The sequence below is a fragment of the Homo sapiens genome, chromosome 1, assembly GCF_000001405.40.
Source record: "Homo sapiens chromosome 1, GRCh38.p14 Primary Assembly".
NCBI classification, from domain to species: Eukaryota; Metazoa; Chordata; class Mammalia; order Primates; family Hominidae; genus Homo; species Homo sapiens.
The window spans coordinates 12,014,872-12,037,465 of record NC_000001.11 but is presented as its reverse complement, the minus strand read 5'-3'; the positions used below and the strand labels follow the sequence as shown (position 1 = coordinate 12,037,465).

Here is a 22,594-nt window from a genome sequence, read left to right as displayed (position 1 = left end):
ACACGTGGCTGGTGAATGAATGAGTGAGTGGGGGAATGGTGGAGGCATTACAGACCATATCAAGGAGTTGGGTTCCAGTTGGAGAGCATTCATCAGCTCTACACATTTTTTTTTTCTTTTTTTTTTTTCTGAGACAGAGTCTCACTCTGTCGCCCAGGCTGGAGTGCAGTGGTGCGATCTCGGCTCCCTGCAAGCTCCACCCCCCAGGTTCAAGCGATTCTCCTGCCTCAGCCTCCCGAATGGCTGGGACTACAGGCACACGCCACCACACCCAGCTAATTTTTGTATTTTTAGTAGAGACGAGGTTTCACCATGTTGGCCAGGATGGTCTCGATCTCATGACCTCGTGATCCGCCCACCTCAGCCTCCCAAAGTGCTGGAATTACAGGTGGGAGCCAGCGCACCCGGCCAGCTCCACACCTTTCTATTGAGGAATCCATCTCCCTGCCTTGTTAGGTGTGGTGGTGCTCGCCAGTTGTCTCACCTATTCAGGAGGCTGAGGCGGGAGGATCACTTGTGCCCAGTTCGGGGCTTTGGTGCCCTATGCTGATGGGGTGTCTGCACTAACTTGAGCATCAATATGGTGACCTCCTTGAAACCAGGTTGCCTAAGGAGGGTTAAACCAGCTCAGGTTGGAAATAGAGCAGGTCAAAACTCCAGTGCTGATCAGCAGTGGGGTAAATAGCCACTGTGCTCCAGCCTGGGCAAGGGCAAGAACCTGCCTCTAAAAAAGCTCTTATTTTAATTATTTTTATTTTTTGAGGCGGAGTCTCACTCTGTCACCCAGGCTGGAGTGCAATAGCGCGATCTTAGCTTGCTGCAACCTCCGCCTCCCAAGTTCAAGTGATTCTCATAGCTCAACCTCCTGAGTAGCTGGGATTATAGGTGCTTGCCAATATGCCCAGCTAATTTTTGTATTTTTCATAGAGACAGGGTTTCACCATGTTGGCCAGGCTGGTCTCAAACTCCTGACCTCAAGTGATCCACCCGCCTCAGCCTCTCAAAGTTCTGGGATTACAGATGTGAACCACCATGCCCAGCCTCTTTTTTCTTTTTCTGAGACGGAGTCTCGCTCTGTCGCCCAGGCTGGAGTGCAGTGGCGCGATCTTGGCTCACTGCAAGCTCCACTTCCCGGGTTCACACTATTCTCCTGCCACAGCCTCCGGAGAAGCTGGGACTACAGGTGCCCGCCACCATGCCCGGCTAATTCTTTTGTATTTTTTATTAGAGACGGGGTTTCACCATATTAGCCAGGATGGTCTCGATCTCCTGACCTCATGATCCGCCCGCCTTGGCCTCCCAAAGTGCTGGGATTACAGGCATGAGCCACTGTGCCCGGCCTTTTTTTTTTTTTTTTTTTTTTAAGAGAGATGGGGTCTTGCTATGTTGCCCAGGCTGGATTTGAGCTTCTGCCTTTTCTCACGTCCTCAGCTGACTGTCTCCAGCATGGTTAGGTCCAAGAAGACAAACTTCAGGCCGCTGCCTGGCCAGGGTCATGGTTCTAAGCCGTGGTGCAGGCAATGGAGGAGTCAGATCTTTGTTCTTATTTCTAAATGACCAACACAAGACACTAGTTTTGGGAGAAGTAGGTGATCTTGCCTTTTTCCTTTGGGATTTACAGTACATACTCAGAAGGCACAAAAAAAGAAAAGAATGCTATCAGTATGGGAGAGGGGGTGCATGTAAGGTGTATCAGGAGTGTGCCCAACCACCAGGGTCCTTTCATGCAGAGAAATGAAAGCATTTGTCCAGTAACCTTCACAAGGCAGGTAAGAAACCAGGCTAGAGGGAAAAGCCAAATTCTGGAACACAGTTCAGCCAGTACTTTTGAAAAAGTACAATACAAAACTATTTCAATGAAGAAAAACAATGCCATCTCTGTTTTCAGGAAGCTGCAATTCTCGCAGGGGAGAGAGCTTAGGCAATGCATCTCACCGTTAGTTACTTAATACTACTACTCAGGGGCCTTGGAGAAGAGCAGGAAGGCAGGCTGTGTGATGGCGGGGGCAGATCTGAGAACCCAGAGGTTCAGGGAGGACCTCTTGAAAGAAGAGACATCCAAGCTGAGACATGGATGGGGCAAGGGTGGGAGACAAGACGAGCATCCAGGGTGACCCCAAGTTGTAGGGGTGAAAGGCCCAGGAGAATTAAGAACAGCTTGCAAGTACCTGGGAGGGTAGTGGGGACATTCACGAAATGGAACTGTGTGGGTGCTGGAGAGCTGCAAGACATGGGCTCTGCTCTAGGGGCCTCCTGCCTGGAACCTTCATTCTTGGGGCCCCTTCAGCTTGAATAAGCCTGTATCCCATGCTGAAATCAGTCCTAAGAAGTGACTGGAGAGGCAGCCCCAGGCCCAGGGCTTTCTCAAGCACCTCCCTGCCGTTCTCCGGAGGCCAGGGGCAGTGGCTCATGCCTGTAATCCCAGCACTTTGGGAAGTCAAGGCAGGTGGATTACTTGAGGCCAGGAGTTTGAGACCAGCCTGGCCAACATGGAGAAACCCCTTCTCTATTAAAAATACAAAAATTAGCCGGGCATGGTGGCAGGCGCCTGTAATCCCAGCTACGCGGGAGGCTGAGGCATGAGAATCACTTGAATTTGCAAGGACGTTGCAGTGAGCCGAGATTGCACCACTGTACTCTAGCCTAAGCGACAGACCCTGTCTCAAAAATTAAAAAGAAAAAGAGTTCTCAAGCGACCAGCAGGAAGGATCTGGTTCAGGCTGTGGTCTTCCTACCCCCGCTGATGGCTCCAGATGGCCCCAAGGAGGCTGCCTTCTGAAGAGATAGCCAGGAACAGGCAGAGCAGAGGTCAGTACGTGGGAAGACAGGAGTTATTTGCCGCCACACAAAGAGGGTCTTTCAGGCTATGGCGCCACAGGTTTCATTCAGCGCAGTGTCTACAGACTTTGGGCTGTGGTTCTTGTGCATGGAACTTACTGGAAGCAAGCAAGCTGGAAGTCTTCCAAAGTTTCAAAAGAACTGTTTTTCCAGAGAAACCATGCACCCTGATGCATTATGGGCCCTGTGGCAGCATTCCAGCCTGTACGGTGATGGAAAAGAAGCATTTCTCTCTGGGTTAGGCTGTTGCTGTTTTGGACTTCTGTTATACACGGCTAAATCTGTAAGCTGATCTCAGCTTTGTAAATTTTGTAATTTTTTTTTTTTTGAGACAGAGTCTTGCTCTGTACCCCAAGCTGGAGTGCAATGGCACCATCTCGGCTCACTGCAACTTCCGCCTCCTGGGTTCAAGTGATTCTCATGCCTCTGCCTCCCAAGTAGCTGGGATTACAGGCATGTGCCACCATGTCTGGCTAGTTTTTAAATTTTTTACTAGAGATGGGGTTTTGCCATATTGGCCAGGCTGGTCTCAAACTCCTGACCTCAAGTGATCAGCCTGCCTTGGCCTCCCAAAGTACTGGGATTATATGGGTCAGTCACGGCACCTGGCCTAAATTTTGTAACTTTTTTTTCTTTTTCGAGACAGAGTATCACTGTCGCCCAGGTTGGAGTGCAGTGGCATGATCCGGCTCACTGCAACCTCTGCCTCCCAGGTTCAAGCCATTCTTCCGCCTCAGACTCCCGAGTAGCTGGGATTACAGGTGTGCATCACCATCCCCAGCTAATTTTTGTATTTTTAGTAGAGACGGGGTTTCGCCATGTTGGCCAGGCTGGTCACAAACTCCTGACCTCAAGTGATCCTCCTGCCTCGGCCTCCCAAAGTGCTGGGATTACAGGAGTGAGCCACCAAGCCCAGCCTGATTTTGTAACTTTTGTTTGACAGAAAGGCTTTGAATTATCTTCTCCCTGTGGCCAAAGAATTTCTAAAGAAACCACTGACTCCCACAGGTTCTCCGACTCAAAATTACACGTGGAACAACAAACCAAGCCCAACTGAAATATGGGACAAAGGACTTGACTTCTCCAAAGAAGATATACAAACAGGCTGGGTGCAGTGGCTTGTGCCTATAATCCCAGCATTTTGGGAGGCCCAGGTAGGAAAAGCCTGAGGCCTGGACAACATAGCAAGACCCTGTCTCTATTAAAAATAAACTAATAAACATGTACTCCTGAACTTAAGTTAAAAAAAAACTATTAATAAATATTTTTAAAATATACAAATGACCAATAAGCATATTAAAACATGCTCAACGTCACTAATCCTTAGGGAAATGCTAATAAAAACCACAATGAGATACACTTCACAGCCATTAGGATGGCTACTACCGAAAAACCAGAAAATAGCAAGTGCTGTTGACGATGAGGAAAAATTGGAACTCTTGTGCATCACTGGTCGGAAAGTAAAACAGTATAGCATTTCCTTGAAAAATTAAAAATAGAATTATTGGCCGGAGGTGGTAGCTCACGCCTGTAATCCCAGCACTTTGGGAGGCTAAGGTGGCAGATCCCTTGATCTCAGGAGTTCAAGACCAGCCTCAGTAACATAGTGAAACCCCTTCTCCACAAAAAGTACAAAAAAATTAGCCAGGAGTGGTAGCACGCGCCTATAGTCCCAGCTACCTAGGGGGCTAAGGCAAGAGAATCAATCACTTGAGCTTAAGAGGTCGAGGCTGCAGTGGGCGGAGATGGCCCCACTGCACTCCAGCCTGAGTGACAAAGTGAGATCCTGTCTCAAAAATAAAAAAACATAGAATCACCTTCTGATCCTGCAATTCCACTTCTGTATACCCAAAATAATGGAAAGCAGGGACTCAAACAGACTTTGTTTCTCCAGAGAGAGGGAAAGGTTTTTATAGCTTCATAAACTCCAGGAAAAAGCCCCAGGACAGCATAGCCCAGTTCCATCTCTAAGCCGAGAAACCTTAGAGAAAGTTCATGCCTCGTTTCCGCATTTATTCCACTTACAAAAACAAGAATTTCATATTATGCAACCAACACATACAAGAGGTGAGTGAAGGACAGGGCACTGCCTACTCTCCCAGACTGGACATCTGGGCTCTCTGCTAACCTTGCCTCCAACTCACCGCCCAGCCCTGTTTCCTCATCTGTCCCTGCTGGGGCTCTGAATGACCTGCGGCTCCCATGGCTGGGTGGAGGAGCCATGTGACCCCAGGGACTTCCAGAGAGCCCTTCTATCAATGGATCCCGGTTCTGGGACCAGGAAGGAGAGAGCTCAGTCACTCAACACGACTCACGGCTTCAGCGGAGGCCCTCGCTAAAATGACTTTTTAATAACCTTGGCCCAGCCTGCCCAGGGGCCCCCCCTCCCCCATCTGGTGGAGGCCACTACCCAGAGCTGGGGATCTGCGGAAGGAGCCACCCTCATGGTGACGGACACACACTGCCTAGTCCCAGTGGTTGCAGTATCTTCCTTCCACAGGTGCCAGGAGGGCAGGCTGAGAGGCCAGAGTGCCTTCTGGGCCTCAAGTGCATTAGCAGGATGGAACCAGCACACGTGGGACTTGAGCTGCAGAGCACTGAGCTTTATTTACAAACTTCCACAGAATCCCTCACCCTCCACCCCAGGGTCCTCCCTCTCTGGAACTCAGGCAGCAGACAAGCTTGGGTCCACCCACCTGCCCAACCTAGGACAGCTGGGCCTGAGCTGGGCGGGCAGGGGATTCCATCTCCTGGGTGCGCCTGCCAGAGGGGAGAGGCTGGAGGCGGCGGGAATGCTGTTCTCCCCCAGGAGTCAGTCCTCAGGGCTTCTGCCGTGGGACGTGGGGCCGAGGGACCTGGGGCACTGACCAGGTCGGGGTCGGGGGCAGCATCTGCATTGGTGAGGCCTGGATGGGGAATAGGGAAGTCTCAGGGGGGCCACTTGAAAGGGACAGGTCATCCCCAGTTCCAGCCACATTCCCTCCTGGATCTTGCAGTCAGGGTGGCCTTCCTGGGTGGAGCAGGGCAGGCGGCAGGGAGCAGAGGAGTTCCGAGGGATGGCTAGGGTCAGGGCTGGAGGGCTGGACCCTGCAGAGAGACACTCCCAGGCTCCATCCTCCCCACCTCAATCCTACCCCCCAGGAGGCTCTGCAGTCCCCAGGCCTGCTGCGAGGTCTCTGTCCCTCTAGGGGGCACCCCAGGCTAGGATGCGATCTGGACCGTACCGGGTGAAAAGGGCTGCTGGTGCCGGACAGCTTCTGGTGCTGGGCCTCAGCGGAGACAGAGGACCAGAGGTCCAGGTTCCTGGGGGCTGAGCTTTTCTCAGACTTCGGAGGAAAAATGTCCCAGCCCAGCAGGCAGTGCTGTGGAAGGCAAGGAGTTAAAAGTGCCTGACCTGGGACAAGCTCCCCGCTGACTGGGCACACCCCCATCAGGGAGGAACTGTGCCCCCCATTAGGAAGGAGGCCCCCACCAAGGCAGGGCCTGTGTCTACCCACAAGACTACCCCAGCTCTCCCCTTTCTTATCCTGGCAGATCCAGCCATCCCTGGGGCCCTGAGAGCTGAAATGGGAGGAGGATAGGACGGTGACAGTGACATTCACAGGGTACTTCCTGCTGTAGGCTCTCCAAGCACCTGCATGGATTGCTTCACTCAACAGCCCCACCTCACCACCAACATCCCTGAGGATGGCGCTGTTATGTCCATTTTACGGACCAGCAAACTGACTTTCCTCTGCATCCTTCTCCTCCTCTGACCCCAGCTGCCCTACTCTCAATTTAGGAGTCAGGGGGAGTTGCCACTGGCACCCCATCCCGACCTGGAGACACAGGAAAGGACATTTTTTTTTTTTTTGAGATGGAGTCTCACTCTGTCACCCAGGCTGCAGTGCAGTGGCGAGATCTCAGCTCACTGCAGCCTCTGCCTCCCAGGTTCAAGCGATCCTCCCACCTCAGCCTCCCAAGTAGCTGGGACTACAGTGGAGGCTGCAGTGAGCTGAGACCATGCCAATGCACTCCAGCCTGGGCAGTAAGAACAAAACTCGGTCTCAAAAAAAAAAAAAAAAAAAAAAAGCAGCAGCAGCAGCACAGAGACCTAGGTTCGAATCCCAGCTCCTCCACCAAGGCGCCTCCCCCTCTGCTTCGGTCTCCCCACCTGCAGGGTGGGGGTACAGCAGTGCCTACACTCCTGGCTGCTGTGGGGGCTCCATGAGATAAGCCCCCTAAGGACTGTGCCTGCAGTACACAAAAGCGCAATAAACAGGACCCATTCATGTCATGCCAGCCTGCAGGCAGATCACCCTGGAAGCACCGGGGTACGTGGAGCGGGGGTCCTACCTCCCTTAGGTACAGGTGTGGGTGATGGAAGAGGCCCAGGCTGTGCTCCAGAGACTTGGGCGCTCACCCTTGTCGAGCCCAGTCTCGCTCTGTGACCCTCCCTGGGGATCTGGGCCAGTCTGAGCCAGCCCCGCCCTCATCACCATCCAGCCCCACGTGGCTGCTCACCCGGGGCAGGGCCAGTGTGTCAGAGGCGTCAAAGCTCTTTCGCCGGTGGATGTGGTACCGGTGCGGGGGCTCCAGGATCGACAGCGGGATGCTCACCCTGCGCAGGGGGGCAGTGGGGGACCCCTGAGGAGCCTCCCAGCGGTTGGGGGCCCACGCCCAGGCCCATCTTTTCTTAAAACCAGTGGTTCAGGCTCTGTCCCCCAAGGTGTCCCAATACTCTGGTCACTCACCTGACGTGCGCTGGCTGCGCCAGGGTCCCAGGGCCCTGCTGGTCTCGCGGTGTCCTGCACAGGCGGCAGGGGGTACCGGGATCCACAGGCACCGGGAACAGGCGCCGGTTGACACGGTAACAGTACACGCCTGCGAGGCCCATGAGAAGCCACAGCTCTCCCTGAGCCAGGAACCCAGGTCCCCAGGCTCCGTGCTGCCCTCAGCGGCCCCCAACCACACAAGCTGCCAATCCCTCTGGGAAGCCCTTCGGCCCATTTCCTCCTAACCCCTTTCCTCCCAGAACCTGGGGCCCACGCCCTAAGGGGTGGGGAGGGACATCCTCCTGGGGCCCTCAGGAGCTGGGATGGAGTCCCACCAGCACAGGGGCACTGCTGGGGAGGGTGGGATGGTGCCACACAGGGCAGCCCCTAATTCGGTGGCCAGGCCTTAGCTCACTCCACCCCTACCAGGGCTTGGCCACCCTGTCCAGACTGCAGGCCTCCCTCCATGAGTCTCAACATCTCAGGGGCCTCCCCAGGCCCCAAACCTCAAATGGGACTGCTCTGGGGCAGGGGAGGCCAGGGCAGCGCGAGGCTGGACTACTCAGCGGCCTAGCCGAGGGCCCGCACTCACATTCATGGTCTTCCTCCACGCCGCTGCCACTGCTCTCACGCAGGCCTGGCAACTGGGGTCTGAGAGGGCGAGGGGGATGAGCAGGCCGGGGGATGGAGCCGCTCAGCCGCCCTCGCCCACCCTCGCCCGCCCCTGCTCACTCAGGATGGCTGCAGATACACTCCTCCTTGTTGGTTTCCCGAAACTCCTGCAGCTTGGAGAAGAAGGCCTCAGGCTGGCTGGTGATGGAAGAGCTGGTGTCCAGAGACCCTGGTGTGGGCAAAGCACCAGGCAGCTGACGGGAGAGGGGCTGGGGGCTGCTGTGTGGCCACCGGCCAAGGCTTGGAGAGACGATCAGCCCTGGCACCCCAGGCCACCTGCTTCATCCCTACTGTGCCTCAAACAGGCCAGGAGGGCCCCTCCAGTCACTGGGACTGTTGGTTGGTTTCAGTGTCTGTCTACCCTGATGCATAGCCAACCATCCATGGAAAAAATATCGACAGAGCCCTTATGACAGGGCTAGATGCTGTTTCATGTGCCAGGAACTAGACAGACAAAGCCCCTGGCCTTAATGAGGCTTACACTGTAAGGTGGCAAGAGATGAACTAGCCACCAAAAAAAAAAAAACCCGTGATACAAGACTGAATGCTGATACCTGCCAGAAAGCAAGAGAGCAGCGTCAGAGCCTAGTATGGCCGGGCAGCCATACCAGGGAAGGCCTCTCCGAGTGAGATGACCCTGAGCAGAGACATGGAGAAGCCACAGAGACCTCCCAGGAAGGACATCGCAGGGAGATGAAAGAGCAAGCGCAAAGGCCCCGGGGTGGGCATGTGCATGGTTCAGCTGAGGAACAGCCAGGAGGGGAAAGTGGCAGGAAGGCAGCGAGGGTGGAGGAGATGAGGTTAAGAAGCCCAGGGAGGGTCTGGGGAATGGGAGGGACACAACCACATCAGCCACATATTTTTACAGAACTCCTCCTCTGGCTGCTTCAAGTTGAGGGGAAGCAGAGGCATCGGTTAGGATTCAGCTGGGGAGAGGTAGGGGCAGCCCCCAACTTACCATGATTCGACTTAGGATGTTTCTTTTTTTATTTTTTGAGACAGAATCTCACCGTGTTGCCCAGGGTGCAGTGCAGTGGAGCGACCTCGGCTCACTGCAACCTCTGCCTCCCAGGTTCAAGCGATTCTCATGTCTCAGCCACCTACAGAGCTGGAATTACAGGCGTGCGCCACCACACCCAGCTAATTTTTGTATTTTTAGTAGAGACGGGGTTTCACCATCTTGGCCAGGCTGTTCTCAAACTCCTGGCCTGATCCACCTGCCTCGGCCTCCCAAAGTGCTGGGATTACAGGCGTGAGCCACCGCACCCGGCCTAAACAGTATTTTCAACTTATGTTGGGTGTATCAGGATGTAGCTGGATGGTAAATCCAGCAAGTTTATGGCCTGACCTATTTAGTATTTGGAGTTGCCATTTATGGAGACAGGAAAGACTGCAGGAGGAGCACAGCAGTGGAAATCAGGACCTTGATTTCGGACAGAAGGTTAATAACTTCATGGTGATGTGGAGAAGACAGTGGGATATACAAGTCTGGAATTCGGAGGAGAGGTGCGGGCTAGAGATACAAATGGAGAAGTAGAGAAAGTGTCCAAACACCTCAGCGTTTGGGAGATCATAGAGGGAAGATAGAGAGGAGGAGTCAGAAGACCGAGTCCCAGGCCTAGGGGTGTAGCAGTCAGAACAAGGACCTTTCCTTCCCCAGAAGCCTGGGAAGGAGCACCAACAGAGATGGGGGAGAACCGGGAAGCAAGTGGCTGGAAGTCCAGGGGAGAAAGTGCTTCAGGAGTGACCACTGTGTCCCCTGCTACTCAAAGGAAGATGTGGATGAGGGCTAAGCTGGGGAGTTGGCACCACGGAGGCCACTGATGACCCAACTGAGGGCCATGTTGATGAAATGCTGGGAGCTGAAGCCCGATTTAAGAAATAGTAGTGGAGGCTGGACACAGTGGCTCATGCCTATAATCCCAGCACTTTGGGAGGCCAAGGCGGGCAGATCACTTGACATCGGGAGTTCCAGACCAGACTGGCCAAGATGGCGAAACCCTGTCTCTGGCTAAAAATACAAAAATGAGCTGAGTGTAGTGGTGCATGCCTGTAATCCCAGCTACTTAGGTGGCTGAGACAGGAGAATCACTTGAACCTGGGAGGCGGAGGTTGCAGTGAGCTGAGATCACTGCTCCACTGCACTCCAGCCTGGGTGAAAGAACGAGACTCCATCTCAAAAAAAAAAAAAAAAAGAAAAAGAAAAGGAATAGTAGTGGAGAGAAATTGAAGGCAACGAGGCTAGACAGCCCTTTTGAAGAGGAAGTTTTGTTATCGAGAAAACAGGCAGTCACTGGAAGCAAATGTGGGCTAAAGGTAGGAATGTGGCATCGGGATGAGAAATAACAGACAGCGGCTTTACCCCGACTGGATGTGAGCTGCTGGTAAGATTCTGTCTCACCGGGCCTCAGCCTTCCCATCTGTGAATGGGCACCATGGTGGTGCCTACCTAATAAGCTTATCATGAAGGGCAAAGGAGTCAGCGGGAGGAACAGGAAGCACAGCTCGGAGCGGTGCCTGGTGCAGGGAGCATGAGATACAACCAGCTCCCAGAATGCTTCCTGCACGTTCATGCTCATGCTAAGGGGCAGGATGAGGATGCAGGACAGAGAGGGAGAGGATCACAGGAAGGAAACCCTGGAGGAGCCAGAAGCAGAGGGGCGGAGCACGCTGGAGCAGGGCCAGGGTCCAGGTGGCAGCATGGACAGTCACCTCGGCAAAGGCAGGGGAGCAGAGCGCATGGACCAAGAGCAGGTACTGGGACAGGCGCTTCCATTTTCCCAGAACCAGGAAGGAGGGCAGTGAGCTGAGAGTTCAAGAAGTACTCAAGGGCAGGGCCTGTGTCCCCGCCACCAGTTGCTCTCAGCAACTCCACAGTACACCTGTCTTTGTTTTTTGAGACAGAATCTCACTTTGTCGCCCGGGTTAGAGTGCAGTGGCTTGATCTCTGCTCACTGCAGCCTCCACTTCCTGGATTCAAATGATTCTCCTGCCTCAGCGTCCTGAGTAGCTGGGATTATAGGTGCCCGCCACCACACCTGGCTAATTTTTGTATTTTTAGTAGAGACAGAGTTTCACCACGATGCTCAGGCTGGTCTCGAACTCCTGACCTCAAGTGATTCGCCCACCTCGGCCTCCCAAATTGCTGGGATTACAGGCGTGAGCCACCATGCCTGGTCGTGGCCTCCTTTCTGGTCCTGCCATGCCTGTGGCCACCCCATTATGTGTGTAATCCCAGCACTTTGGGAGGCCAAGGCGGGCAGATCACCTGAGGTCAGGAGTTCGAGACCAGCCTGGCCAACATGGTGAAACCCCGTCTCTACTAAAAATACAAAAATAAGCCAAGCATGGTAGTGGACGTCTGTAATCCCAGCTACCTGGGAGGCTGAGGAAGAATTGCTTGAACCAAGGAAGCGGAGGTTGCAATGAGCAGAAATAACACCACTGGACTTGACTCTGGGCAACAGAGAAAACAAATAAAAATAAAAAAGGAGGAGGCCGCGAGGCTGGAAGAAAGACGGGAGGTCACATCATGGGGCCAGTAGAGGCCAGATCATGCCTCGTAAGTCTAGATAGGGATTTTGGATTTTACAGTAAGTGCTGGGAAAAGCCCATGGGGAGGTTTGAGTAGGGGAGTGACATGATCTGATTCCCATGTTTAAAAATTCCCTCTGGCTGCTATGTCAAAAGTGACAGTGCACAACCATGTCACCAGCAGCATTATTCCCAACAGTCAAGAGATGGAAAGCACCCAAGTGTCCATCCCTGAATGAACAGATAAACAACATGTGGCATCTACACACAACAGAATGTCACTCAGCCTTAAAAAGGAAGGGAATTCCAGCCAGGCACAGCGGCTCACACCTGTAATCCCAGCACTTTGGGAGGCCGAGGCAGGAGAATCACTTGAGTGCAGGAGTTCGAGACCAGCCTGGCCAACACAGTGAAACCCCATCTCTACTAAAAATGCAAAAATTAGCTGGGTGTGGTGGCGCACACCTGTAATACCTGCTACTCGGGAGGCTGAGGCACAAGAACCACTCGAACCCGGGAGGTGAAGGTTGCAGTGAGCCGAGATCACACCACTGCACTCCAGCCTGGGAGACACAGTGCGACTCTCTCTCAAAACAAACAAAAAAAACAACAACAAAAAACAAAAAACAAAAAAAAAAAGGAAGGGAATTCTGACACACAGTACAACATGAATAAATCTTGAGGCCGTTATGTTAAATAAAATAAGCCAGTACAAAAGAACAAAGGCTATATGATTTCACTTATATGAGGTCCCTAGAGGAGTCAAATTCATAGGGACAGAAAGTAGAATGGTGACTGTCCAGGGCTGGAGGGAGGGGGAATGGGAGTAATTATTTAATGGGGAGAGAAGTTTTTGGGAAGATGAAAAAGTTCTGGAGGTGGATGGTAGTAATGATAGCTCAACAGTGTAGACATAGTTGACGCCGCTTAACAGTCCACTTAAAAAACGCTACATGTGGCTGGGAGCAGTGGCTCACGCCTGTAATCCCAGCACTTTGGGAGGCTGAGGCGGGCGGATCGCCTGAGGTCAGTTCCAGACCAGCCTGGCCAACATGGTGAAACCCCTTCTCTACTAAAAATACAAAAATTAGCCGGGTGTGGTGGCAGGCACCTGTAATCCCAGCTACTCGGGACGCTGAGGCAGGTGAATCGCTTGAACCCAGGAGGCGGAGGTTGCAGTGAGCGGAGATCACGCCATTGCACTCTAGCCTGGATGACAAGAGTGAGACTTCATCTCAAAAAAAATGCTAAAGTGGTAAATTTTATGTTATGTATTTACACAAACACACATACACATGCAAAGGACAGCAATGGGACATAGGCCAGGGGGAAACCAGCCAGAAGGCAGCTGAGGTTAGGTTGCTGTCGGGGAGAGCTGGACAATAACGTGAAAAGAGCTGGCATTGGTATGAAGTTGTGCAGGGGCCTGGCACATAACAAATGTTCAAACATACGGCAGCTGGGACTCATTCATTCATTCAACAGATGCACCGTCTCAGTGCCTGAGGTTGAGAGAGCAGATACGGCTCAGAAGGTGCTCAGAGGCTGGCGTGAAGGTAGTGAGTTATCGCAATTGTATACTCACAGTCAGTGACAGACCAAACTCTTTGTTCTACTCTTTCCCCCTTCTTCTCACTGCTGCTCATCTGGTTTTTTTTGCTTGCTTATTTTTTGGAGACGGAGTCTCACTCTGTCACCCAGGCTGGAGTGCAGTGGTGCAATATCGGCTCACTGCAACCTCCGCCTCCCGGGTTCAAGCAATTCTCTTGCCTCAGCCTCCCAAGTAGCTGGGATTATAAGCCCGTGCCACCACACCCGGCTAATTATTGTATTTTTAGTAGATACGGGGTTTCACCATGTTGGTCAAGCTGGTCTCAAACTCCTGACCTCGTGATCCGCCCACCTCATCCTCCCAAAGTGCTGGGATTACAGGTGTGAGTCACCGTGCCCGGCCTGTCTTCTCTTAAAAAGCAAAGAAAAAAAAAAAAAAAGCCGGGCATGGTGGCTCATGCCTGTAATCCCAGCACTTTGGAAGGCTGAGGCGAGCTAACACGGTGAAATCCCGTCTCTACTAAAAAAAACAAAAATACAAACAAATTAGCCAGGCGTGGTGGCAGGCACCTGTAGTCCCAGCTACTCGGGAGGCTGAGGCAGGAGAATGGTATGAACCTGGGAGGCGGGGCTTGCAGTGAGCCGAGATTGCGCCACTTCACTCCAGCCTGGGCGACAGAGCGAGAGACTATCTCAAAAATAAATAAATAAATAAATAAATAAATAAATAAATAAGAAAACAAAGAAGGTGGCTGTGGGGGGCGGTGGCTCACTCCCGTAATCCTAGCACTTTGGGAGACCAAGGTAGGTGGATATCTTGAGCTCAGTAGCTTGAGACCAGCCTGGCCAATACAGGGAAACCCCATCTCTACTTAAAATACAAAAATTAGCCGGGCGTGGTGGTGCTCGCCTGTAATCCCAGCTACTCGGGAGGCCAAGGGATGAGAATCACTTGAACCTGGGAGGTGGAGGTTGCTGTGAGCCAACATCACACTACTGCACTCCAGCCTGGGGGACAGAGTGAGACTCCGTCTCAAAAAAAAAAAAAAAAAAAAAAGAGGGTGCTCCCCACGGAGGATGGCACGGTCAGAGAAACAAGCAACAGCACCGGGTGGAGGCTCAGACAGGAGCATGGAGGATCCCAGGCCTCCACCTCCCACTCCCAGGCAAAGTGTGTGCAGGGCAACAGCACGCCTTACCTGCAATCCAGTCATAGCCCAGGTATGGCCTGAGGCGCCAGCTCCTCTTAGGAACTGCAGACTCCTCAGAGAAGGTCACCCTGGGCTGAGGAAGGAAGCACAGAGGGACAAGGACTAAGCCAAGAGGCCTGGCCCAGAGGAAGCCGCAATTCGAGGGACAGAGAGACTGTGTCTTAACTTACACCCTGACTTGCAGCCCAGGGCTCAGCCAAGGGCACAAGAGCAAGAAGGGAAACGTTTGGCCCCACTTTATGTGTGGCTGTGAACAAATCCTGGCCTCTTCTCAAAGCACTGTATGAGATACTCACAGCTACCACCTAGCGAGCATTTAGGCTGAGCAAGACCCAACTCACAGTATCTCCCAGGAGCCTCTTATTCTGCAAGGGAGGCTACCCACAAGCACATGTGTCAGATAGGGAAACTGAGGCCCAAGGAAGCTCCTCCCATCAGCAGATGTCCCGCTCTCCCACGTTACCTTGGACAGCTTGCTCTGTTGAGCCAGGATGGACCTCGGGGTCTGTGCCTCCTGGGGTCCTGGATCACCCAGCCTCCCTGAGGGCTCTGGGTCCCTCAGGCTTGAGGTGCCCAGCGAGGGTGCTGAGTGGGGTCTCGGTCGGCCCAGGGACTCCTGGTGCTGGCATTTGGCAGGTGGGAGAGAGGCCACCCCCGATCTGGCCACATCACGGAGGTCCCCTCGACAGGCATCTGGTGGGCCCCACACGGAGGACCGGCCCCGTGGGCAGGAGGTGCTCAAGGAAGTTGAGGACGTCTCTGGGGTCGATGGAGTCTCTGAGTTGTAGCTGCTGCTGGATTCCAGGCTTGACTGGAGAGAGGGGCCGGGTCACCCAGGGAGTGGCTGCCAGAACCTACCCACCGGGCCTACGCCAGGCACCAAGGCAAGCATCCTCATCCTGCTCCGGCCTCAGCAGTGACCAAGGCCAGTCTCTTCCCTCCCCAGCCCTCAATGTCCCATCATCAGTAAAATGGGTGTATTGAACAAGATGAGCCCAGAAGCCTGGATGCTGGCCTGAAGGTCAGGTAGCCCCTTCCTCTGGGGTTCCCAAGGCGGGCACGCACCTCCGAGGCTGCCCTGGCCACTGACCGCCGCACAGCATCCTGCCCCACCCACAGCTGCCTCAGGAGCTCCAGATTGAGCAGCCGCAGCTGTGCCAGTTCCTCAGCCTCCACCATCCTGGGCCTCTCTCAGCAGGTGTCACTTGCCCCTGGGCCGCAGGATGTCCTCAGGGCTGGGTTCCAGGCCCAGCTCTTCTACCTGAAGTCAAGACAGCAGGACACGGGGCTCAGTAGGGTGCCCTGTGGTGCCAGAGACCCCCATTCGACACTCTTTAACTGTACTGCCTCAGGCAAGTTATTTAACTTCTCTGTGCCTCAGTTTCCTCATCTGCTGGACGACAACAGTATCTACCTCATACGATTGTTGTTAGAATTAAAGAAAGCATGTTAAGCCTGGACAACATTTGTAGAAACATTTTTTTTTGTTTTGTTTTTTTGTTTTTTTTTTTTGAGATGGAGTCTTGCTCTGTCGCCCAGGCTGGAGTGCAGTGGCGCAATCTCGGCTCACTGCAAGCTCCGCCTCCCGGGTTCACGCCATTCTCCTGCCTCAGCCTCCTGAGTAGCTGGGACTACAGGCGCCTGCCACCACGCCCAGCTAATTTTTTGTATTTTTAGTAGAGACGGGGTTTCACCGTGTTAGCCAGGATGGTCTCGATCTCATGACCTTGTGATCCGCCTGCCTCGGTCTCCCAAAGTGCTGGGATTACAGGCATGAGCTACAGTGCCTGGCCAAAAAAAAATTTAATTAGCTGGCCATGGTGGCACTTGTCTGTGGCCCCAGCTACTCAGGAGGATAGCTTTAGCCCAGGAGACCCAGGCTGCAGTGAGCCATGGTTGCATCACTGTAAAAAAAACAAAAAACAGGCCAAGTGGCTCACGTCTGTAATCCCAGCACTTTGGGAGGCTGAGGCAGGAGGATCACCTGAGGTCAGGAGTTTGAGATGAGCCTAGCCAACGTGGCGAGAGACCTCGTCGCTACTAAAAATGCAAAAATTAGCCGGGCGTGGTGGCACGCGCCTGTAATCCCAGCTACTCGGGAGGCTGAGGCAGGAGAATCACCTGAACCCGGGAGGCAGAGGTTGCGGTGAGCCGAGATCGCACCATTGCGCTCCAGCCTGGGCGACAGGGTGAGACTCCGTCTCAAAAACAGCAACAACAACAAACAATTAGCCGGGTGTGGTGGTGGGCGCCAGTAATCCCAGCTACTCAGGAGGCTGCTGAGGCAGGAGAATCGCTTGAACCTGGGAGGCGGAGGTTGTAGTGAGTGGAGATCACACTACTGCACTCCAGCCTGGGTGACAGAGCAAGACTGTCACACACACACACAAAATACAAAAAACAAAGCACTCAGTACAGTGCTTACTTAATACAGTGCTTACAGTGGTATACAGTAAGCATTCAATAAACGTCTATTATTACCAAAATGGCTGGGGCAAGGGCATGCTTCCTTTTTTTCTTGGCTCACTGCAACCTCCGCCTCCTGGGCAGTGGTTTGGACAAGCTTGCTTTATAACTGGTGAGTCCAACACAAATCAGGCTTCAAAAGGGATTCTTCCTCCTTTCCTGCCCTCCCTTCCTCCTTCACTTTCTTTTTACATATGAAGAAACCAAAGCTCAGGGAAGTTAAGCAACTTGCCCCAAGTCACACAGCTAGCAAGAGGCTAGATCTGAACCAAAATTTGACTCCAGGGTCCATGAGTTCAGGGTTCTTGGAAAGCCTTTCCCTGGAAGTGTGGGGGAGCCTGGGAAAACTCCGCCTCCTCCTCCCAGCCCTTGCCCCCCACCTCCAAGGATCCTCAGGATCGGGTGCAAGGTCTGGAGCACAGAGTAGCCGACTACCCCGGAACCTCCCCCACACACGTATATTACCCCGCAGGGCCGGGGGGCACGGAGATGCAGTCCAGAGGGGCCAACTGTTTGATCCGCAGGACAAAGATCCCGGCCCCCACCCCTAACTGGCCAAGTGGCTCTGGGCCACACCCCTATAGTCAGAGGGTCGCCGTTTTCGCACGGGGTCAAAGGGCACAGCAGGCCTTGCCCTCCCCTGGCCCCGGCCGCGCTTTGGAAAGGGAAAAGCTGAGCGGAGACACCGGGAAAGCGACGCTCCAGAAACACCGGGGCCGCAGAAGTAACAGAGGGCGAGCGGGCGGACGCCGAGGCGGGACCCCCGCAGAGGCAGATGCAGCCTACCCTTCTTTTCCACTGCGGCCCCCGAGCCCCTCGCGGGAATGCACGTGGGGCCTCCTGCCGAGCCCTTCCGCCCCACCCCAGTCCTGCCGCCCAGCACTCACCCGGCAGAATCCCCTAGCATGCGCCGCCGTAGCAGCCGCAGCCGCCTGAGCCGTTCCAGGGGCCTCGGCCGGCCGTCTTGATTGGTCAGGTGAGGGGCAGGGCCGGGACGTCTGGTGAGCGTTACTCGGCGATCCGAAGTGTCAGTTTCAGCGTGGGGGCGGGACTAAGAGCGGAGCTACACAACCGATTGGTCAATTTTCGAGGCCGGTGCGGAGGTCGATTCCTGGAATGGGGCGGGCCCCGGAAGGGCGAGCTCCGATTGGTCAGCTGCGGGACTGGATACGCTGAGTTCAGCAGCGGCAGTTTCAGTCAGGCTGGGCGGCCTAGGCTCGGCGCAGGCGGCAGTCCGGAGCGGCGGGGTAGGTGGGGCAGGCGGCTGGCTACTCATTGTACTCATCGTTTCATACTTTTCTTTTTTTTTTTTTTTTTGGAGACGGAGTCTCACTCTGTTGCCCAGGCTGGAGTGCAGTGGCGCGATCTCGGCTCACCACAATCTCTGCCTCCCGAGTTCAAGCGATTGATTCTCCTGCCTCAGCCTCCCGAGTAGCTGGGACTACAGGCGAGCGCCACCATGCCCGGCTTTTTTTTTTTTTTTTTTTTTTTTTTTTTTTTTTTTTGTATTTTTAGTAGAGACAGGGTTTCACTATGTTGGCCAGGCTGGTCTCGAACTCCTGACCTCGTGATCCGCCCGCCCCGGCCTCCCAAAATGCTGGGATTACAGGCATGAGCCACTGCGCCCGGCCTGCTTTATACTTTCATTCAGGTTTTTAGCGAGTGCCCGCTTTGCGCCAGAAGATAAGGACTACACAGTAAACAAGAAAGTGTAGTATTGGGGCCGGCCGCGGTTGCTCACGCCAGTAAACCTAAAAATACAAAAATTAGCCGGGCGAGGTGGCCGGCGCCTGTAATCCCAGCTACTAGGGAGGCTGAGGCAGGAGAATCGCTTGAACCCAGCTACTAGGGAGGCAGAGATTGCAGTGAACCGAGATCGCGCCACTGCACTCCAGCCTGGATGACAGAGCAAGACGCAAGACTCCATCTCAAAAAAGAAAAAAAAAAAAAAGATACCCAGCCTGGGCAACATGGCAAAACCCCGTCTCTACAAAAAATGAGCCAGGCACGTACCTGTAGTCCAGCTACTCGGGAGGCTGAGATGGGAGGATCACCTGAGTCCAAGAGGCTGAGGCTGTGGTGAGCTTTGATTGCACCACTGCACTCCACCCTGACTGAGAGACCCTGTCTCAATAAATAAATTAATTTAAAAAAGAAAGAAAGTGTGGTATTGGCGTCCAGGTAGACAAATGGATCAATGCAACAGAATAGAGTTCCGATATGTGAGCAATTAATTTTTGACAAAAATGAAAGTGCAATTCAGTGGAGAAAGGATAATGCCTTCGGCCCGGGGCGGTGGCTCACGCCTGTAATCCCAGCGCTTTGGGATGCCGAGGTGGGCAGATGGCTTGAGGTAAGGAGTTACAGCCCAGCGACACCCAGCACCCCCCCCAAAAAAATTTATTTTATCAATAATGTGTGTGGAAACTTGGGAAAACAAGAAGAGATGGTGTCTTCAACAAATGTTGTAGGTATAATTGGATATCCACACACTCATCCTAAAAAAAAAAAAAAGAAACCCATATGCAAAAATTAACCTAGAATGGATCATAGATCTAGTTGTGAAACCTAAACTATATAACTTAGAAAAACTGGGGCCGGGCGCAGTGGCCCACGCCTGTAATCCCAGCACTTTGGGAGGCCGAGGCGGGTGGATCACCTGAGGTCAGGAGTTCAAGATCAGCTTGGGCAACATGGCGAAACCCCGTCTCTACTAAAAATACAAAAATTGGCTGGGCGCGGTGGCTTACGTCTGTAATCCCAGCACTTTGGGAGGTCCAGGCAGGCGGATCACCTGAGGTCGGGAGTTCCAGACCAGCCTGACCAACATGGAGAAACCCCGTCTCTACTAAAAATACAAAATTAGCCGGGCATGGTGGCGCATACCTGTAATCCCAGCTGCTCGGGAGGCTGAGGCAGGAGAATCGCTTGAACCCGGGAGGCGGAGGTCGTGGTGAGCCAAAATCGCACCATTGCACTCCAGCCTGGGCAACAAGAGTGAAACTCTGTCTCAAATTAAAAAAAAAAAAAAAAAAGAATGAAAAGAAGATAGGTAGCCCCTCTACCTCCAGAAGAGCCGAGGGTGATAACACCAGGCACCGAGCTAGCAGGAAGCCCTCCGACTCAAGAAGATGGCTGATCCTTGGCAGGAATGCATGGATTATGCAGTAACTCTAGCAAGATGAGCTGGAGAGGTAGTTTGTGATGCTCTAAAAAATGAAATGAGGCCGGGCACGACGTCTCAGGCCTGTAATCCCAGCACTTTGGGAGGCCAAGGCGGGCGGATCAGTTGAGGTCAGGAATTTGAAACCAGCCTGGCTAACATGGTGAAACCCCGTCTCTATTAAAAATAGAAAAAAATTAGCCGGGTGTGGTGGTGGGCACCTGTAATCCCAGCTACTCGAGAGGCTGAGGCAGGAGAATGGCTTGAACCTGGGAGGCGGAGGTTGCAGTGAGCCGCGATTGTGCCACGGCACTCCAGCCTGGGTGACAGAGTAAGACTGTCTCAAAAAAAAAAAAAAAAAAAACTATATATATATATGAACCCACATTCACTACTGGTGGGGATATAAGACAGTATAACCACTTCACAAAATCTGTAGAAGTTAAACATAAATTTACCATATGGCCCAGCAAGTCCAGCCTGAGATATCTACCTACAAAAAATGAAAACATCTGCCTACACAGAGATTTGAACACTAATGTTCCTAGCAGAAATACGCATAATGTTGTCTAGAAGATCACCAGGGTGGCTAAATAGTAGAAAGGAGCACTTTATTGTTGATACTTGTTTGCAAACCAGGAAGAGATGGTTTGCAGCATGCACTGAAGGTGCTCTCTTCCAAGAGAGAAAGGACAGGTTGGGTTTTATGCCTCACAGGGCCCATATTCATACATATTTAGCAGGTTTGAGGGAAAAGCTGTATACATATTTATGAGAGGAGGTGAGCTCATGTGCATTGGCTAAACAGGTTGTTCACAGCTTCTGTAAGCTGGCTGAAACTGGCTTAAGTTCTGCAGTTGCTTATCAGAAAAGAATGTTTATTGGCTGGGTGTGATGGCTCATGCCTGTAGTTCCGGCACTCTGGGAGGCTGGGGCAGGAGGATCACTTGAGCTTGGGAATTAGAGGCCAGCCTGGGCAACACAGTAAGATCCCATCTATTTTTTTTTTTTTTTTTTGAGACGGGGTCTCATTCTGTTGCCTAGGTTGGAGTGCAGTGATGCAATCTCGGCTCACTGCAGCCTCCACCTCCTGGGTTCAAGTGATTCTCCTACCTCAGCCCCCGGAATAGCTGGGACTACCAGTGCACACCACCATGCTGGGCTAATTTTTGTATTTTTTGTAGAGACAGGGTTTTGCCAGATTGCCCAGGCTGGTCTCAAACTCATGAATTCAAGCGATCCTCTCACCTCAGCCTCCCAAAGTGCTGGGATTACAGGCATGAGGCACTGTGCCCAGCCAACATACATTCTCTATTTGAAAAATTAAATTAAAAAAAGAAAAAGAATATTTGTGTCCAGACATGGTGGCTCACACCTATAATCCCAGCACTTTGGGAGGCCAAGGTGTGAGGATCATTTGAGATCAGGAGTTCGAAACCAGCCTGAGTAACATAGTGAGATCCCTCGTCTCTACAAAAAAACAAAAAATTATCCGGGCATGGTGGCGCACACTTTTAATCCCAGCTATTCGGGAGGCTAAGGTGAGAGGATCACTTGAGTCTGGGAGGTCAAGTCTGCAGTGAGCCGTGATTGCGCCACTGCACTCCAGCCAACAAAAACCTACCTCAAAAAAAAAAAAAAAGTTTGTCAGACCGGTCCCCTGTGTAATCAGAGGCATAAGGGTTTGGTTTGTAAATCAAGACTTGAGATAATTTGCCTGATGGCTCCTGATGTTAGGGAGTTTAGCGAGTATGTTGTTTTTCTTTGTAACTGAAAAAGGTTACTAATCAGTGAGTGAGATTTTTGTTGTTGTTGTTGTTGTTTTGAGAGGGAGCCTCCCTCTGTTGCCAGGCTGGAGCGCAATGGCGTGATCTCGGCTCATTGCAACCCCCACCTCCCAGGTTTAAGCAATTCTCCTGCCTCAGCCACCCTAGTATCTGGGATTACAGGTGCACGCCACCAAGCCTGGCTAATTTTTGTATTTCTAGTAGAGATGGGGTTTCACCATGTTGGCCAGGCTGGTCTTGAACTCCTGACCTCGTGATCCGCCCACCTCCCAAAAGTGTTGGGATTACAGGCGTGAGCCATCGCGTCTGGCCCCAGGGGCAGATTTTTATCCACCTTAGTCACTGCTATATCTCCAGTGCTTAGAACCATGCTTAGCACATAGTAAGTGCACAAATATTTTGCTGAATTAATGAACTTCCTCATTTGAGGAAATTAGGGAAAATAGACCATTGGATTTTGAGATTAGGGCTCATGCGTATGAAATGTCTGACATACTAAACTCTCAAAGTTCGCTGTTCTTATCTCAAGCCTAAGAGTCCCACTTAGACACAGGAAACCATCCACTTGAGGACACGGTGAACAACTTAGCTGACATCTGCGAGGAGGGCCCTGCTTCT

At 52.7% G+C, this 22,594-nt stretch overlaps 1 protein-coding gene, 1 non-coding gene and 1 pseudogene across 5 annotated transcripts, besides 4 other annotated features; 1 reads left to right on the top strand and 2 right to left on the bottom strand.

Annotated features, from left to right (window-relative positions):
• Nucleotides 452-726, top strand: RN7SL649P (RNA, 7SL, cytoplasmic 649, pseudogene; annotated as a pseudogene).
• On the bottom strand, nucleotides 5,421-17,968 carry MIIP (migration and invasion inhibitory protein). 4 transcript variants are annotated; one of them, XM_011541895.2, is made up of 10 exons: nucleotides 17,492-17,968; nucleotides 15,626-15,821; nucleotides 15,024-15,371; nucleotides 14,549-14,633; nucleotides 8,325-8,433; nucleotides 8,185-8,243; nucleotides 7,572-7,701; nucleotides 7,342-7,438; nucleotides 6,063-6,200; nucleotides 5,421-5,744 (listed from the first exon to the last, which is right to left on the bottom strand). In XM_011541895.2, exons 2-10 carry the CDS (start codon nucleotides 15,737-15,739, stop codon nucleotides 5,658-5,660), a joined length of 1,167 nt encoding a protein of 388 aa, XP_011540197.1. In that variant the 5' UTR covers nucleotides 15,740-15,821; nucleotides 17,492-17,968; the 3' UTR covers nucleotides 5,421-5,657. The 4 variants fall into 4 exon arrangements, with proteins under 4 accessions (XP_011540197.1, XP_011540198.1, XP_005263544.1 ...); XM_011541896.2 differs by having other exon boundaries at nucleotides 17,813-17,968; XM_005263487.5 differs by having other exon boundaries at nucleotides 5,421-5,925; nucleotides 17,914-17,968.
• On the bottom strand, nucleotides 8,244-8,308 carry MIR6729 (microRNA 6729). The gene has a single exon (NR_106787.1). It is a non-coding gene; the product is annotated as a microRNA 6729 (primary transcript).
• Nucleotides 16,440-17,310: an enhancer, noted in NCBI's record as "H3K27ac-H3K4me1 hESC enhancer chr1:12080213-12081083 (GRCh37/hg19 assembly coordinates)". NCBI's record gives its function as "activates a minimal SCP1, AML or CMV promoter by ChIP-STARR-seq in primed H9 embryonic stem cells {active_cell/tissue: H9 hESC(primed)}" and the evidence as "EXISTENCE:reporter gene assay evidence [ECO:0000049][PMID:30033119]".
• Nucleotides 17,311-18,181: an enhancer, noted in NCBI's record as "H3K27ac hESC enhancer chr1:12079342-12080212 (GRCh37/hg19 assembly coordinates)". NCBI's record gives its function as "activates a minimal SCP1, AML or CMV promoter by ChIP-STARR-seq in primed H9 embryonic stem cells {active_cell/tissue: H9 hESC(primed)}" and the evidence as "EXISTENCE:reporter gene assay evidence [ECO:0000049][PMID:30033119]".
• Nucleotides 18,059-18,138: an enhancer, noted in NCBI's record as "active region_187". NCBI's record gives its function as "activates an Ori minimal core promoter by ATAC-STARR-seq in GM12878 lymphoblastoid cells {active_cell/tissue: GM12878}" and the evidence as "EXISTENCE:reporter gene assay evidence [ECO:0000049][PMID:35858748]".
• Nucleotides 18,259-18,308: an enhancer, noted in NCBI's record as "active region_186". NCBI's record gives its function as "activates an Ori minimal core promoter by ATAC-STARR-seq in GM12878 lymphoblastoid cells {active_cell/tissue: GM12878}" and the evidence as "EXISTENCE:reporter gene assay evidence [ECO:0000049][PMID:35858748]".

Excerpts from the sequence above, each read along its gene's own strand:
- MIIP (XM_011541895.2), bottom strand. The coding sequence starts at position 15,739 with ATGGTGGAGGCTGAGGAACTGGCACAGCTGCGGCTGCTCAATCTGGAG. Across the intron at positions 7,439-7,571 it reads GCGCAGCCAGCGCACGTCAG|GGTGAGCATCCCGCTGTCGA; the intron begins GTGAGTGACCAG and ends CCCCCTGCGCAG. Across the intron at positions 5,745-6,062 it reads CCAGCAGCCCTTTTCACCCG|GCCTCACCAATGCAGATGCT; the intron begins GTACGGTCCAGA and ends TTCCCCATCCAG.